The sequence below is a fragment of the Homo sapiens genome, chromosome 17 (assembly GCF_000001405.40).
Source record: "Homo sapiens chromosome 17, GRCh38.p14 Primary Assembly".
Lineage (NCBI taxonomy): Eukaryota > Metazoa > Chordata > Mammalia > Primates > Hominidae > Homo > Homo sapiens.
In genome coordinates this window covers 8,452,014-8,469,492 of record NC_000017.11, presented here as the reverse complement: position 1 = coordinate 8,469,492, position 17,479 = coordinate 8,452,014, and the positions used below count along the sequence as shown (strand labels likewise).

The 17,479-nt window shown below is 43.4% G+C and overlaps 1 protein-coding gene across 9 annotated transcripts in view, besides 1 other annotated feature; it reads right to left on the bottom strand.

Annotated features, from left to right (window-relative positions):
• NDEL1 (nudE neurodevelopment protein 1 like 1) overlaps nt 1-17,479 on the bottom strand; it is a 61,198-nt gene that overhangs the window by 4,836 nt on the left and 38,883 nt on the right. For 4 of the 9 annotated variants that reach the window (XM_047436861.1, XM_017025184.2, NM_030808.5 and 1 more), the window contains 3 exons: nt 14,606-14,697; nt 9,333-9,484; nt 1,330-2,563 (listed from right to left, as the gene is read on the bottom strand). In XM_047436861.1, coding sequence (XP_047292817.1) covers nt 2,470-2,563; nt 9,333-9,484; nt 14,606-14,697 — 338 coding nt within the window. In that variant the 3' untranslated portion in view covers nt 1,330-2,469. Of the gene's footprint in view, nt 1-1,329; nt 2,564-6,138; nt 6,174-9,332; nt 9,485-14,605; nt 14,698-17,479 lie in introns of those variants that run through there. The other 5 variants (XM_017025186.2, NM_001025579.3, XM_017025188.2 and 2 more) reach the window with 3 other exon arrangements.
• Nucleotides 3,775-3,975: a silencer, noted in NCBI's record as "peak2717 fragment used in MPRA reporter construct". NCBI's record gives its function as "represses an SCP1 promoter by STARR-seq MPRAs in K562 erythroleukemia cells {active_cell/tissue: K562}" and the evidence as "EXISTENCE:reporter gene assay evidence [ECO:0000049][PMID:32103011]".

Genomic DNA, 17,479 nt, shown 5'->3' with positions numbered 1-17,479 from the left:
CTTCCTCCAGCTATCAACTGAGTGACCAGCAATTGGCAGAACAGTCTGGATAAGAGGAGCCCAGGGTGTTCAGATGCAAAGGAAGTGAGAAATCATTTGGGGAGCCAGGGATGAAGATTCAGGGCTCCAAACATCAACTGTGCTTTAACCAGAGTGAAAGCCCTGCTTGCTGTGTTTTAGTTGGGGTTCCTACATAAAGAGGTCGGCTAAATGCTGAAACCTCTCATCTAATCCAATCCTTCCAATGAGGGCTGGGAAAGAAGATGAAGTTGCTGCACATCAACAAGGGGCTTAGGATTGTCCTCTCAAGCACTGCAGCTCAGCCAAGCACAGCACACACCCACCGCGAGTGTCCCTGGAGACTCAGCTCAGGACAAAATCTCCAGGAACTAACAGCAGATATTCCTGTCTATAGATTAATAGAGAAATGTTTGACAATGGATCCTACTTAATAGTTCTTATTCACTCAGGGTTTTTGTGGGTTTTCTTGAGACAGAGTCTAGCTCTGTCACCCAGGCTGGAGTGCAGTGACATGATCTCAGTTCACTGCAACCTCCACCTCCCAGGTTCAAGCGATTCTCCTGCCTCAGCCTCCCAAGTAGCTGGGACTACAGGCACCCGCCACCATGCCTGGCCAATTTTTGTATTTTTAGTAGAGACAGGGTTTCACCATGTTGGTCAGGCTGGTCTCGAACTCCTGACCTTGTGATCCGCCCACCTCGGCCTCCCGAAGTCTCTTAGGGTTTTGATTCACATCGTTTTCAGTTACTTACAGTTTTAAAACTATAAAATGTTTCTGTTGTTCTAAGCAAACAGTGCTCAGAATCTGATGCATTCACACAGACCCCCAGTTTACGCGTTCTTCAATGTGTCTTGCTATCAAGTATCTGACACCTTCTCTCACTTGCTAGCATTAACCTGAGGGATGAGGAGAAGTGCCGGTTCGAAGCGACTTCTAATCCCAGAATGACAACATCTGTCATGAATGGCAGCACAGCTGCAGGACCAGGTCCCGGATCCATCCCAGTTACTCTGGGACTTTGTGAACTTCCGCCCTCAACATCCTGGTCCTTCCTTTCAGATTTTCACATGGGGCCCAGGCCATTCTCAAACTGCTCCTGGAAATCACAGCCAAGCCCAGAAGCCAGTGCCAAGAAACAGCATGAGGACGCCTGCTCCGCACATAAGACATCTCCGGAGGCCACCTGATCTCTGTCCCATTCCACAGCTGCGTGTCCCATGTCAGAGCAGCAGTGACGTTGGAACCTGGCTTTACGGGCCCCAGCTCTCCTCTCATGGGATGGCAGAGACTGAATAAAGCAACGTCAATCCTTTTTTTCTGTGAAATTTATTGTTTCCACATTAAAAGAATTTTTTTGAGGGAAGTATTTTTTGTAACCACATGATGATCCTATACAGCTGCCCAGAGGAGGACACCATCAGAGTCATTAACATGCCGTATGCGTTCTGAATAAATAAAAGCTACAAAGCCCAAGTTATATACAAATATCTCAGGCAATAATGTTTACAAACCTATGTACAATAAAACAAATGTAAACAGTAAATGCAGCATGAGAGTAATCAAAGGATGCACAGGGACAGCCGCCGCTGTTCAGTCCACCCCGGAGCTGGCACCGGCCCACCCTGGAACCAGCCACTCACCCTTCCTAACACAACGGGACGGCCCTTGGAAGAGAAAACAAAAACACTCCAAAGATGTCGTTGAACTGAAGGACGGGAAGGCTGGCGAGAGGCTGCCCGCCTCCCTCACCCCGAGTCTGAGGCGCACGGAGGAGGAGACAGCACAGAGGCTGGGCCTGTGTGTGCCCCGTCCCAGAGGCTCCTGCCACGTGGGGCTCAGACGGGCATTGTGCTGCTCTGGGAGGCAAGTCCATGGAATGGTAGCTGCTTAAGTAAAATCAGAAGGTGCAGAAAATGTTCCCTAATTCAGTAACCTTCCTGACTCTTTGCCAGAAACAGGCCCAAACTGTGAGGGGTGGAGTTGGGGGACACATGATCATGAGCACTGGAGATGCCTGGGTGGGAGCTCAGGAGGGCACACATTGACCTGATTTGGGGGAGAACTTCTAGAAGATTTGCAATGTCCTAAAACACAACTAAATCCTATCAGTACAGCAGAGTGGGGGCTATGGGGCAGGTGTGATGAATGGGTACTTCTGCATCCAGTGACCAAGTAATACACGTATGTATCACCTTGCGACCCACAAAAGTGCAATCATGTGAAACCAACGGCACTACGGCGAGAAGAGAAAATAGCCAGTATTGATATCGCGCAGAGTTCCGGGGCTGGGCAGGGCCCAGTAGCCGCCACTGCATGCAGCCTGCCCTCTGCCAGCCGTGCGGAGGCAGACGGAGGGGCACGGGGCTGGGCCCAGGCACCGAGGGGTGAGGCGTGGGTGTCCTGGGTTGTTGGAGGAGGGCAGGAGCCCCCACCTGGAGGCTAGGCACTCACACACTGAGAGGCAGCATACCCGGCGCTGACGATGGACGCGAGGAGCCCAGACCAGGAGGAGGAGGAGCGGGGTCAAAGCCGTTTACTGCCCTGTGGGAGCAACCAGAGCACAGAAGGGAAGAAAGGGGAAACGAAAAACTCATTTAAAATCACTCACACACAATAGGAAATTAATCTGCTTTCTAAAACTATTCCTCGCAGGCTGTAGGGTCCTGATGGCCCAAGGGGCACTGGCTGCCTGGAAAGCACCAGCTGGTTAGAGAATTGAGCCTTTGGGAATCCTGGGGAACCAGGACCACATGACCTGTTTGGCAACTGCCGCACACTGGCCACGGAAGCCACAGTCCTGATTCTTTCCCCATAAAGCAGGTCTAAATGCCTGGCAATAGGGAACTAGTTAAATAAATAATGGTACAACTGAACAATAAGATATTGCACAGCCATTAAAAACACATTCCACAAGTTTTTTAATAGCATGGGAAAATATTCAGAATGTAACTAACACTAAGTGGAAAAAGATGCAGGTTACCAAACTCTGTAGATTCAATGATATGAAAGAAAAAAAAGCAAATAGTATATATTCTAGATTCTAGACTATAGCCCCTTAGATAGACATTACTATCCATGCAGCTAAATCCACAAAGCAGGGACAGAGGGGGAGTGTGTATAAATAAATGTATATATACATACATTATATATACGCATACACATATATATATACACACACCAACATATATGTACATAGGATCATATATATCATAAAAAGAAAATTTAAGAATCGTTACTTTTCTTCCCTCTGGGCTGTGGGTGAATTTTGTTTACTACTTTATCCTTTTTTAATCATTTTCCAAATCTCCTTACATTTTCCAAATATAATGTATTAATACACGAATATCTTAATAAGGTGGAGAAAAATAACCTTTTAAAAATTGTTTAGCAAGCAACGCCAGATGAGTAGGCTTTTCAACGCAGACTCGTGTGCAGACAGCCCAGCCCAACCCAATAGCCTGCAGCCAGGACCCAGCACCCGGAGCCCAGCGACACAGGGAGCCCCCCAGCGTCCCCATCACGCACCCAGAGCCCAGCGATGCAGGGAGCCCCCCAAGCATCCCCCTCACGCACCATGCAGCGCAGCCACAGGAAGCAGCAAGAGGGGGAGGGAGTGTGCAGCCTGGAACCTCTCTCAGGAGCCACTTCAGCCTTTCCACCTTGAAACGCTTCCTAGGAAAATTTGTCCCACTAGCAATTTGGGAGATAAAGCCAACTACGACAAGGGGCCACACTGCACCACACCTGCCCACTACTGCCCCCACCTACTCATCAGACGGCTCCAGGGAGCTAAATACAGACTCATGGAGAGAGGTTCTCCTTAAAAAAAAAAAATGCCGACACACACTCCCTGCAGAGACAGCTGTTTCGTACACTGACGGGGTGAGGATAACCTCACAGACAAACAGGCATGCAGAGACTTGACAAATAGTCCCTGCCTACTTGGAAGAAACAAAGTTCATGTCTAAAGAAACTAAACTCAGAGTACATATGTGGAGTTTAAATTCCAACCACGCATACAGAGACCAAGAGCCCCAGGAGAAAGGCTCTGACAAATGTCATTTCTCCCTGTTGCACACTGTCCTACTTCGACGACAAACAGCCAGATTGTCTCTTTCCTCACTGGGTTAGGTCTGATTTTTGAGCTTCAACACATTTGCAAGTTTGAAATCATCCTTCCCACTCTCCCAAGGTCACAGGCCTGTGCCTCTTCTGGGGCCAAGGCCATATCCTATTTGCCACGGTAGCCCTCATATAATAGGCTCCATCTGTCTGGCTAGTCCCAGAGTCCCTGACACCTGCTTCTCCTAGAAACCTCAGGGACAACCAGGCAGGCCCCACAAATGCCTGCAGCTCTCAGCACGTGTGAACCTCAGATTCCTGGCCTCACACATCACAGTGGCAGGCAAGCCCCTAAACCTGTACTGCAGACAGTGCCCGGAACCCAGCAGAAAGGGAGCACCATTGGATGCCAAGAAGAATCTGGCACCTGGGCCACGGGGGTGTACAAAAGCAGCAACTAGGAGATGGCTCCTCAAGCAGGTTGAGGATGGGATTCTGGCATTTTCAAGTGCACCGTAAGGAACAACAGGTTCATCCCACTGTTCCACTGCCAAGACAACCAAAGCAAGAGAAGGTCCAGCCATTAGCCTAGGCTCACCTAGTGAGCCACTGATGGGGAAGTCGGGGCCACAGCTGCCTCCAGATGCCCAGGCCAGGACCCTTTTCTAGTCTCCTCCTGGTCAGAGGCCACCTAGCAGCCCTCAGAAGCAACCACTTCGGCACTCCAATGCAGGCCGGCTCTAATGGGAAAAGTAAGTGGTGCAGCCCAGACTATAAAGAGAGAACCGGTAAATTTCTACATGGGCAGAAATGGAACGCTTAATGTGAAGGTGGGTGGAGTAGAGAGGGAACATCAATCCACCAGGGTCTCACCTAGCGCCTCTCTCCTGACTCAAAAAGTAGAAAGTTAAAGAACAGAGAGAGAAGAAAGCTGGCCTTCTAGATGGGATGACAGGTCTAGTGAAGTCCTTCAGAGGCCTGCAAAGCTGTGCATGGGGAAAAGATTTGCAAGAGAAGAGACTCTATATTCAACAGATTCAGTTTCAGGGAGCAGCAAAGAGCCACAGGGCAATGTCCCAGTGCACAAGACAGGACTGAAGGAAGAGTGATGGGGCAGGCTTGAAGATACAGATCTGGGAATCATATATGTAAAAAAAAGGTTCCAGAGCTATAAAATTTCATGATCTTACCACCACAGACTAGTTAAGGAGGCTGAAATATAGAGAATCCAGCTAAGAAAAAGTGCTAAGGTCAGTTGTAAAATGTCAGTGGAAGAAGTGAAAAGGGGGAAGAGCCAAGGCACACTTAGAAGCTACTCAGGACAATAAATCCAAAGCAGCTGAGATGAAGGATGGAAACATTAACTCTGTCAAAGCAGCAAGGATCAGGACACTGGAGAGGGCAGGAGGGTGGGCTCAAGCTATCCAGAAGAGCCTGCAGGCAGGCACACGCCACACCTGAGTCTCCTATTTCAGTGGATGAGTGTGGGCTCAGAGCAGCTCCAGCCTGCTCCAGTTCTCAGCCCAGGCTCTGCAAACTGCAAAGCAGTTCTGAAATGTAAGGCAGATCTTACACACGTCCCCATGTACCATTCCATTTTAACTGGGGACTCCATGCGTGAGCGCAGAGGTGAGGGAATGCTCACACTGGTGCCTGACTTGAGAAAACAGAAGCAACTGGGTAACGGGAAGACCCCCAGTCCCAGGAAGACAGTCAAAGGTGATCCCAGGGCCTGACAGTGACCTCAAACCCCCATCGCCAGACTCTGAAATCAACACTACAGCGCCCTAGCCCATCTCAGGCGTGCCACCTGGCATGCTACTCCCAGCCACCCCAGGACCACTGCAACTAATTTGTTCTTGTTTCTCACAGCTGAACTAATAACGGCATACAGTCAAGTCGAACAGGACCGTGAAAGTTCACTGATGGGCTGTAAGTTGGTTAAAGCTGAGTCAGCCCCATGCAGTTAGTAAAACCAGATTGTTAATGTGTCTTCCACCACACACCAGGATTAAGAAAGAATGAAAAAGAGCACAGCAAACAAATTCAGTTACCCATGAACAACGTGGGAAATATGACTTTTTCTTGCCTAATAAAAGAAAGGAGAACATATTAAACAGTAATACGAATACTATTTCCACATCACGCCCTAAAATTAGTCCATGCCCACCTACACACAGCCCAAAAGAACTCAGAGTGGCTTACAAAAATAGAGCACATGTTACCTAAGAAACTACATAAAGTTATGGGAAAAAAAAGAGTGTTTTTGAGAGACTCCAAGCGACCACACTCCACATGAAATGTGTGTCCTTTCAGATGGTGAGACAAAGGGTGACCATGGTTGAAGGAAACAGCTCGGCACCTGGGAAGCAGGCACGGCAGCCCATGTTTCAGGAACTGGCAGAAGTGCTCACAGACTAGACAAAAACCTGATTCCAAGAAGCCCTCAAGTGACCAGAATTTACAAAATACTTTTGAATCCCACAGAGCAATACGCCCAGTTAAGGTATATTGTTTTATGTGAGAAGGCTTCACTGCATCTGAAGTTTCAGCGGGTGGGAAGGTGAACACATGTACACCCGCACACATGCACACACACACAAACCTACTTTGATGATGTCTCTCCCCCAAACAATCCTGCCGCAGGTTTCTGGCAGCACTAGTGAGCCATCACCACGGTGCTACAGACTCCTCAGGAGTGAGAGGGAGGGCAGGCAGGTTCTGCAGTGGAGGGCTTTTTCAAATGGGGCACTTTTCTCATGCTGAAACTACAAGCCATACTTCTCCACTTCTACACAGACAGGCTTTTGTGTTTTTAACCTGCCAGAGTGTATAATGGACCTGGGAAGTGGAATATCCTGCCCTTCCTTTTGCGGCTGCTACACAACATCTTGGTTTTTATCTGGTCAACAGGTTGGCAGAAGAAAAGCCAGAGGTAAAAAGCCAGACAGGCCAAAAGCCGGAATCGAAGCAAAGCGGCAAGAAAGTGAAAACACAGCAAAACCCACAAAAGAGTTATCCTCAGGAATACAGCAACTAGAAAGACAACTCCAGCAACAGTAGGTTAATATTTCAGTGCGCATACACAATCCACTTATCATATAAGCTAAACACTCACACAACAGCCAGCCCACAAAAGCATATTTCTTAATAGAAAAGGCACAATGTAAAATGTCTACCATTTAAAACCAAAACTCAGTATCTGCAACTGTTCCGATTGGGAAGCACAGCACATTTCCGGGTTCAGCTCAGGAAGTAAAGCCTACACTTACATCTCGGATGCTCTCAAGGGGCAGAGGTGCAGTCAGTGTGCCCAAGGCCTGTTCCTGGCTTCAGCTCACCCTAAGGTCCCCACATCTCCCTCAGAACAGGCTCACCTCTTGGCAATCCCTGCCCTGGTGCTCTGTCTTGGGAGGCAAGTGGCGGGCAGGAGTAGCGACCCTGAACAGACAGTGTTATCCTTCCCTCCTCGTGACTGTTCTTCAGGGCTTCCACACGCACAGGCACCTGTCCGACCTATCCATTTATGATTCACACCTGCTCTCATGAAAGGCACCTGCGGCCCATCAAGAAATACGATTCCAAGGAGAAACTAATAACTACTCTAGTAGAGGATCATTATAAGTTGTAGGGAAAAATAATTAGGCACTGCTTCCAACATTTATGAAGACTACCCTAAAAGTTCTCCATATCATTCAGGGGAAATGGCTACGCTCATGTAAAACCATCCAGTCATTCCATTTATCATTCCACTATAAAAACAAGGGCTGCCGCAAGTCTGCCTGAAACTCCTAAGCCTGAGGAAAATCAATTTTATGTTTACTCCACCCGAGGAAACCCAATGGTTAGAATAAAGTTCTGATTTCAGCTGGGCGCGGCGGCAAGCCCAGCACTTTGGGAGGCTGAGGCAGGAGGATCACTTGAGCCCAGGAGTTTGAGATCAGCCTAGGCAACAGAGTGAGACCCCCATCTCTTCAAAAGAAAACAAAAATTATTTAAACAAATTTTTTAAGAAAGAATAAAGTTCTAATTTGTATAGTGATGTTTTAGGATGTGCTTTTAATACAAAATCCTTAATGAAATGTATATTCTCCAGGGTAAAATCAGGGACAGAGATCAACCAAAACACTCCACTGCAAGGATAAGAGCCTATTCAGAGTGCACCGTGTGTCGAATCTGCTCCTTTACACATGTGCCATAATTATTGAGGACGGCAGAAAATCCCAGCTGCTTTCAGAGATTGTGAGCGTTTCTAGAGTTGTACCTGCTCTGCTTTCAGAGAAAAACAAGCAAGAATTACCTCTTTGACTCAAAGCAGAGACAGTAGCCAAGGATCACGGGTGCCTGTTGGCTGTTTCAATAACAACTACCTTAGGCAACACCGTGAGCATCCCAGGCCACGGGTCCTAATAGTGACCTATATTAAGGCATACTCATACAACCACGTATTACCATGTAGTATTTAAAAATAAATAAGTAAATTGAGGTAGAATAATATACATGACATGGAAAGATAATGGCAATAGAAGTCATGATAGGCACACTGCAAAGCAATATTTAAAGTATAATCCCGTAACTGTGTTACAAACAACTTAGAGCAGATGCATAAAAATATGATTTGGCATGCCTTGGAATAACTGTAAGGAATGCAGAAACAGTGTGAAGGCAGGAAACCATGACTTTTTAGTTCATATACTTCCATACTAACTGAAATTTTTTGCATTAAGGATGCTTCAACCTTAAAACAATTTTATTTCAATCTTCAAAAAAGCCTTAACTTTATACAAAAGTTGTATCTCCTAAACTGTATTTGATCCAGTGCCTAAGTACTTCAGGGCTTTATATTTCTCTAAAATTCTCACAGGGGATGTCTGTTGTAGAGTTTGCATATATTTAATTGTGATGCTGTCTTCTACCCCAAAAAAATATTTCCAAGTCTGCCAGCCTGTAAGCACCTGGAGAACAGGGACCTTATCGCAGTCATTTTGACTCACCAGAGCCTCACACTGCTGCCTTTCAAGAGTCTGCTTCCCAGGACAGAAGCCTCAGATTCAGGGTTCCTGGGGCAACAGACTCCATGGGGACTAGAGGACAACAACAGACGTCATGTCACCTAAGATTAGAATGATAACAGGCTTCGGGAAGGTTTGTCAAGCTGAGTTTACCTTTTCAAGGCTTCATTATGCTCACTTACTAACCTGTCACTTTACTACTCAAAAAATTATCACTTAAAACATTCAGGACTTACCCTTTGTCGAAGAAAGATGTATGCCCTGATCGAGAGAACTTTGTGCCATTGCCATTCAGCACCCCACAGTTAACATTCCCTGAAATATAGGATTTTCGTGATGCTTGGTCCTTTGCAAAATTCCTGCAAGCTGCTAATTTGGATTCTAAAGCCTACAAAAAAGAAGGAGGAATGATATGGTTGTCAAAACAGTAGCTGCACATAAAAATTTGCATTTCAAACCATTTCTATTTCAAGCCTCAAAACTTACTCATCTCAGTTGATAATGGTGGTTAGTTCAGCCATAATCAATCAACTTTCTAATAAAAAGGGGGAATACTTATGCTCCCTTTCTAATGACCTCAGAATATTTTGTTTCCTCCTCTTAGCGTTACTGAAGGAAATACATATAATCTTCCCCTTACAACTAAAAAAAGTGTGGTACAGGAGGTGGAACAGCAGATCCCAGGTCTCTTGACCCTATCCATTGCTCGTTTCTAAGCTGTAGACTGTTAGTTGGTGTTGGGGGGCAGGGTGTGTTTTGGGAGCAAGCACTATTAAAAAACCCAAAAATATCACTTGAGAATTTTTTTTACGGCAGCCAATTCTTTCTCTAGGTTCTTCATTTTTTCTACTGCATGAGAATGGATGAGAACATTTACAACACTTTACATGAAATTAAAAGCTATTTTATTTCTGACAGCACTCTGTAAAATGTTTAACTGATACCCTTTGTCTGTAATTAAATAATTCACCCGCAAATGACACTGGCCTTTTAGCATTTACCTCTAAATTGGGCACCCTTGTTTTGCACCTGTCACCACAACACCTGGCAAGCACAGGGCTCTACCAACGCAGATGACATGGAGAGATCAGGCGTTTCTCATGTATTTCCACACACTCACACTTCACCAGCTGTCTCTTTCCCATAAACACTTTGCCCAAATCAAACCCCTCCTTCTCCGAAAAGAAAAATACTATCCATGGCAAAATATATATATACACAATTCATGTCTATTATCCATGACAGTAAAGGACTGGGAATGCACAGCTAAATTAAATCCACAGGTAACATATACTTCACTTTGAGAATCCATTTGGACCTCCTCCCCCCACATTTCAATAACAGCTATTCAGAAACAGCAACAATGGTTGGGTGCAGTGGCTCATTCCTGTAATCCCAGCACTTTAGGAGGCCAAGGCAGGTGGATCACTTGAGGCCATGAGTTCGAGACCAGCCTGGCCAAGATGGTAAAACCCTGTCTCTACTAAAGAAAAAATAAAAAAATTAGCTGGGTGTGGTGGCATGCACCTGTAATCCCAGCTACGCAGGAGGCTAAGGCACAAGAATCACTGGAACCCAGGAAGCAGAGATTGCTGTGAGCCTTGATAGCACCACTGCACTACAGCCTGGGCGACAGAGTGAGACTCTGTCTCAAAAAAAAGAAACAGCAACAAAAACAGACAAACTTTTTTCTTCTCCTTCTTTCCTATGACAAAAGTACAATGACCTACTAAAATGACAACAGAAAAAAGGAAGAGAGGTAATGACCTTGTAAAACAAACTCTGAATAAGCATAATTCAGCAATAATTCAGCAGCTTATTAAAGCTACACACACACACACACACACAGTAGAAATTGAGAGCCATTCAATTCCTATATTCAAGACACGCATTCATTCAAATCCATATTGAGTATCTATCACACGGCAGGCACAACTTATGTCTGAGACATCAGTGAGACATCCAAGCACGAGCACCAGGTCTTTTGAGGGGGGAAAGGGTGGTCTAGAGATTAAGATTTGAAAGACATCCACACCCAGGGGTGGATGAAACTATGGCTGTGATTAAGATCAGAAAATCAAGGACAGAACTCTGAGTAAAACCAATATCGAAAGGGTGAGCAGATGAAGACCCAACAAGATGACTAAGAGGAATGGAAAGAAAGTTGGGAGCAGCCATGAAACAGCATCAGAGAAGGAGAGAAAAGAGGGCATTAAAAAAAAAAAACGGTCAGTGTTGAATGCTTCAAGTAAAATTAGGACAGAACGGCATCCACAGGATTTGACAGCACTGAGATCACCAGTGAGCAGTTTTAGCGGCATAAGCAGGGGACAGAGCCCAGGCTAAAGTGTCTGGGGCGTGTGCATGCAGTCAAAATGCTAACAATAAATGGGGACACGCTTTCAAGAAGCTTTAAAGTATGTAATATGTACCACATAAGTATTACATATATTTATATGGATAACATGTAATACAGAAATATCAAAGTATACCTGTATAACACATAACATATAATGTGTAATACATAAACATTATACATAAATATTAACGCATATATAGTAAAAGGCTGAAATACAGGAGAAATAAAGATTTAAGGGTTGGAAGAAATGAGATCCAAAGCACAGATGGACAAAATTAGCCACGGACAGGAATTTGCACTTTTACCACTGGGACAAAAAGGAGGAATGGCTACAAATAGAGGTAATAATAGGAGAGTAATAACAAAAGATGAGAAAAGAAATCAAAGAAGCTTAAAACAAATGGCCTTGATTTTCTCTGTGAAGGCATGCAAGAGTGGAGAAGGGCTTCCAGTTCAAGTCAGTGGACAAAGTCGTGTAAAGAGGCATAAATGAAATATTCATAAAAGCCAACAAGGGCTGGTGGACACCAGCAGACCCAAAGTGTTGATGACTTTTGGAGGTCGTTATTTTGATAACTCTTAGAAGACGGATTGTCAGCTGAATGTGTAAACCATACAAGGATGCCAAATTAAACTTTCATGCACCACTTCTGAATAAATTAAAGTACTAAAGCAAAACAAACAAGGAACAAAGACAGACAACAACGTGGGGTGAGGAACAGGCAGAACTAACCCAAGAGTAAAATGGAGAGAAATTCGAGGGCGACAACAATGCAGCAGCCCTCGAAGCCCATCAGGGCATCCCACAAAGAGTGTGAAGAAGAAGCTAGAAGATCCGAGAGCAAAGAAAGGTGTAGGTTTCTTCTACTCAAAAGAAAGAAGGGGAAACAGAAATGCTAGGAAAAGAAAGCAGCGTACAGTCAGCTACAATACGAAATATTTAAAAACCCAGTATGATTTTGAGTAAATTACAGTTAAAGAACAAAATTCTCAAAACACATTTGTTGAATGGCACAAATATAAAGACCCATCTGAAAGTCCAGCATCTCCTCTGTGATTACACAGTAAATAACACATATATGTGCATTGTTACAAATGCTGTTTGACTACTTTTCCATTTTTAGAACCAACCAACAGAGAGCTCACACAGCTAGTAGAGGGCTCAGAAAAGGAAAGCGGAGTGGGAGTGTGGTGGGGAAGAAAGGGAGAGAACAGCGAGTTAAGATATAGTCTAATACTGGCCAGACATGGTGGCTCATGCCTGTAATCCCAGCACTTTGGCAGGCCAAGGCAGGCAGATCACCTGAAGTCAGGCGTTCAAGACCAGCATGGCCAACATGGTGAAACCCCGTCTCTACTAAAAATACAAAAATTAGCCAGGTGTGGTGGCATGTGCCTGTAATCCCAGCTACTCAGGAGGCTGATGCAGGAGAATCGCTTGAACCTGGGAGGCAGAGGTTGCAGTGAGCTGAGATCGTGCCGCTGCACTCCAGCCTTGGCAACAAAGCGAGACTCCGTTCTCAAAAAAAAAAAAAAAAAAAAAAAGATATAACCTAATACATTCAGAAACAAAAGTTCAAGAATGTTAAAGTAATTTTTTTAAAAGAACAAAAAATAAAAATAAAAATATCTTTGCTTAAAGTTGAGTAAATCAAGATAAACAGAAAAATAAGCACATGATTTCAAGTTATAAAGACAAATACTCCAACATAGAGGATTTTAAAATGGTTATCTTGGGAGTGAAGAAAGATTACTCTATGTACTGTAGGAACGACCTGTGCACTTTACTTTGTATTTTAACCTTAAAAATGCAGGTTTAATCTGATGGTTAGAAAATAACCCCTATGATGAGCTGAAACAGGCAAACATAGGACCTGTGTCTTGGCCTCCCATATCTGCTTTAGATAAAGTATAATGCAATTTCTACATTTTTTAGAAAGTGTCACACACGAAAATAAGTGAAGGGGGTAGTAGATAGTGGGAAATGGCAATGGTTGATTACTGAAAGGAGAGGTAAAACTCACTAAGGGAAATAGTAATGGGAGCTAATGCTAGAAATGCTGACTTGATAGTGGCATAAATCCACATGGTTCTGCAACTGTTTCCAGTAATTCAGACTGCAGATCTCCTTTGTGGCCAGAGAGACCATGAAGTCAACAGTGACAGAGTAAGAGATGTGTGAGATCACAGATGAATAGAAAGGAAGTGAAAGCAAGAGATGGCTGATAAAAACAAACACACTAAAAAATGGGGTAATACTCTTGATGAGGTTAAAGAGTAGGTATGGTACACAGTAACACACTGATTAAGCAGAAAAACGGGTTTAATTTTTTTTTTTTTTTTTTTTTTGAGATGGAGTCTTGCTGTCTGTTGCCCAGGCTGGAGTGCAGTGGCTCGATCTCGGCTCACTGCAACCTCCGCCTCCTGGGTTCAAGTGATTCTCTTGCCTCAGCCTCCCAAGTAGCTGGGATTACAGGCATCTGCCACCATGCCGACTAATTTTTGTATTTTTAGTAGAGACAGGGTTTCACCATGTTGGCCAGGCTGGTCTTGAACTCCTGACCTCAGGTGATCCACCCGCCTCAGCCTCCCAAAGTGCTGGGATTACAGGCGTGAGCCACCGCGTCCGGCTGGGTTTAATATTTCAGAAGCGAAACTGTTCTGGAATACAAGGCTCACACCAAGGAGAAGGCACTGAAGTTGAGGTGGCCAAGGAAATAAGGTGGGCAAGACTAAAAGTAGAGAGTAATGCCATGAGCCAAATGTTAAAGTCCCACAAACACAAAACAAAGGAATGACCAGGAAGACGGTAGACAGCAGCAAAGACCAGGATGAGGGTGGTAGAAGACACACAGCAGGCCTTAGACAAAGTATTCTAGACAAGGACAGAGGCATCGTGCTGTTGAAACAGGAGTGGGGAACAGGAAGAATGCCCCGGTGGGAACCTCAGAGTTCAAGGTACAGGCTCTTCTGCAGGGGCATCATGAAGTGTCATCTGGACTTGGCTAGTCAATGGATGCTTTTGCTTCTGAGCTTCATGACAGCCTTTACCACAGGAAAGTATCCTTTCTTTCTTCCCTCACTTCAAATTAAGAAATAATTCAATACCTTGTCAGTGGAAACACCTAGTGATAAATAATTGAAACTTACCCCTACTTTCCGTAAGAGATCCCCCACGATGTTTAGTGCTGATATCCTAGCAGAGGGAGTTAGTGGACTGGTACCAAAACCATTTGGTATAGCTAGAGAAAAATAAAAGCTGAGTGATTACACTTGCAGTTCCCTTTACATTTGGGTTTTGTTGTTGATGTTACAAAGTAGTGTAACACTCAATACAATATCAACAAACTACTTCAAACTATGGATAAAGTATAGATACCATAAATAGGCTAAACCACTGTCCAATTGGTGGATATTTACATTATATCAAATTTTTCGCCATTATAAGTAATGCTACAAGGACATATACTCTTAAACATCTAGACAAGTATTTCTGGAAAAGAGATTCCTAAAAATAGAACTGCTGGGTCAGAACATATGCCCATTTTTTTCACCTTAACAGACACTGCCAAAATGCTCTCTAAAAAGCCTGTGCTAATATCAGCAATCTATGCGGTGGTGCCCTTGATAATATTAGATATTATCTTTTTTTTTTTTGACAATTTGATAGTCACGTTTTTTAGTTTCTATTTCCATAGTAACTAGTCATTTGAATCTCTTCTGAAAATCAGCTGTTTAGTCTTTGTACATTTCTCTACTGGTTTGTCTTTCCTGTAATCAATTTGTAAGAACTCTATACATTCTGGATGTTCACCCTTTCTCTTATAGATGTTCTATCTCTCAGCGTGACATTCATCTTGTAAACACTGTGTTTCGGTAGGAGAACCTTTGGCTTTTCCATCTTAATGTCATAATGTTTCCCATACTTTCTCCTAGTATTTTTCTGATTTTTTTACATTTAGATCATTTAATTCACCTAGAAATTATAGTTGTCTATAAGATACATATCTAAATTTTTTCCTCCAAATGGAGAGCCAATTGTCCTAGTATCATTTAGGGAAAACTCATCTCATCTGAAATAGCACTATAACTATAAACTAAATTCCCTAAATATATGAATATATTTCAGTTCCATTGAACTATTAGCCTATTCTATCAGAAGTATGCTACTTTATTATAATGTTAAAATATATTTTGAGATCTCAAAAGGCAAAGATCCCTCTTGTTATTAGCCCATTTCAAATTTTTCTCAGCTGTTCTTGCACATTTACTATTCCAAAATAATTTTAATATCAACATATCAATTTTTTAAATCCTATTAGGATTTTTATTAGAAGTTGAAATTACAGATTGACTTGGGGAGAATGGATATTGTAAGAAAATTAAGTCTTCCCATTCAGAATCATAGTATTTACCATGATATTTACCCATATCTTCTTCCACACTCAGTAAGGTTTTCAGTCGTGCACATTTCTTAATTTTTAAGAGATAATATGACATCATGATTAACGGCTCTTGAGCTGAACTACTGTATTCAAATCCAGTTCAGCCACTGGGTAAGTGACCCATATGTAAGAGGGGGCAAATAACAACTACCTCATCATAAAGATGTTGTGAAGTTTAAATTAATGTACTTTAAAAATGCACGTAGTAAGTACTCAATAAAGGTTAGCTATTATTTTTTATGTTTGTTTTCCACAGAGTGCTAATCAGCAACGAAAATACTTGTGTGGCTTTTTTGTTGTTTATTATCCTTCTTCTCCTCAAGAATATAATCTCATTGAAGGTAGGGGCTTTGTCTTACCACTGTGCTCCCAGCATCCAGAATAACACATGACACATAACAGGCGCTCAACGTGATATAAAAAACCGCTGTACTGTTCTTGGCAGGGATTTCTAGATCTCATTTTTCCCTATTCAAGTTTTACATTTTAGGTGTTATTAAATCTGTGCTTTTATGGTAAGTTGCTTTAAATGCTTTTTAGAAACAAACATTGTAGGCTGGGCATGGTGGCTCATGCCTGTACTCTCAGCACTTTGGGAGGCTGAGGTGGGTGGATCACCTGAGGTCAGGAGTTTGAGACTGGCCTGACCAACATGGTGAAACCCCATTTCTACTAAAAATACAAAATTAGCTGGGTGTGGTGGCACACACCTGTAATCCCAGCTACTTGGGAGGCCAAGGCAGGAGAATCACTTGAACCCAGGAGGCGGAAGTTGCAATGAGCCAAGATCGCACCATTGCACTCTAGCCTGGGCAAAAAAAGCAAAACTCTGTCAAAAAAAAAAAAAAAAAAGAGAAGAAAAAGAAAAGAAAAGAAAGAAAGGAAGAAAGAAAAAGAAAGAAAGAGAAAGAAAGAAAGAAAGAGAAACAAACATTGTAAAAGGTAAAATACAATTAAAGACAGACCACTTCAGAAAGATCAGCTCTAAGATCTTACCGATTTCTCTGACCACCTGCTGCTGCTCACAACTCTGTGCTTTCTTGTAATGAAATTGCAGTGATCTAGTACACAGCAGCTTTTAGGTTAGCCAGTGAAAATTCATGCTATTGGTTCCAGCCTAAAAACATATCTATTAAGCAAATATTACTGCCATAGGGTTGGCACACCTCATGCCGTGCCACAGCAGGCTCCATGTCCTTTTGACTCCCCAAGTCCCTGAATGAAAACTCTAACGGGCTATTAAAAAAAAATGTGCACCACCTGTGGGTGTCACCGCACCTGAGGCTTTTCACTATTCTGATTCGTCTTCAATTAAAGGATTTTCAGATCTGCATAATTCTAATCAGTAACATAAAAGTAAAACTTTGTTAGTCCTCAGGTGTAATTGTGAAATCTTCAAATATACAAGCAGCTCTTCTGAAAAACTGACCGTGAGGGCTCCTGATGACTGCTAATAATCTATTGCCTGCCCTTTGTCCTCAGCAGTAAACCTAGCGCAATTAGTAACACCTTACAACCATACAGCACCTTCACATACCTTATCTGATATCATCTCGTAACAAGGCAAAGACAAGTTGAA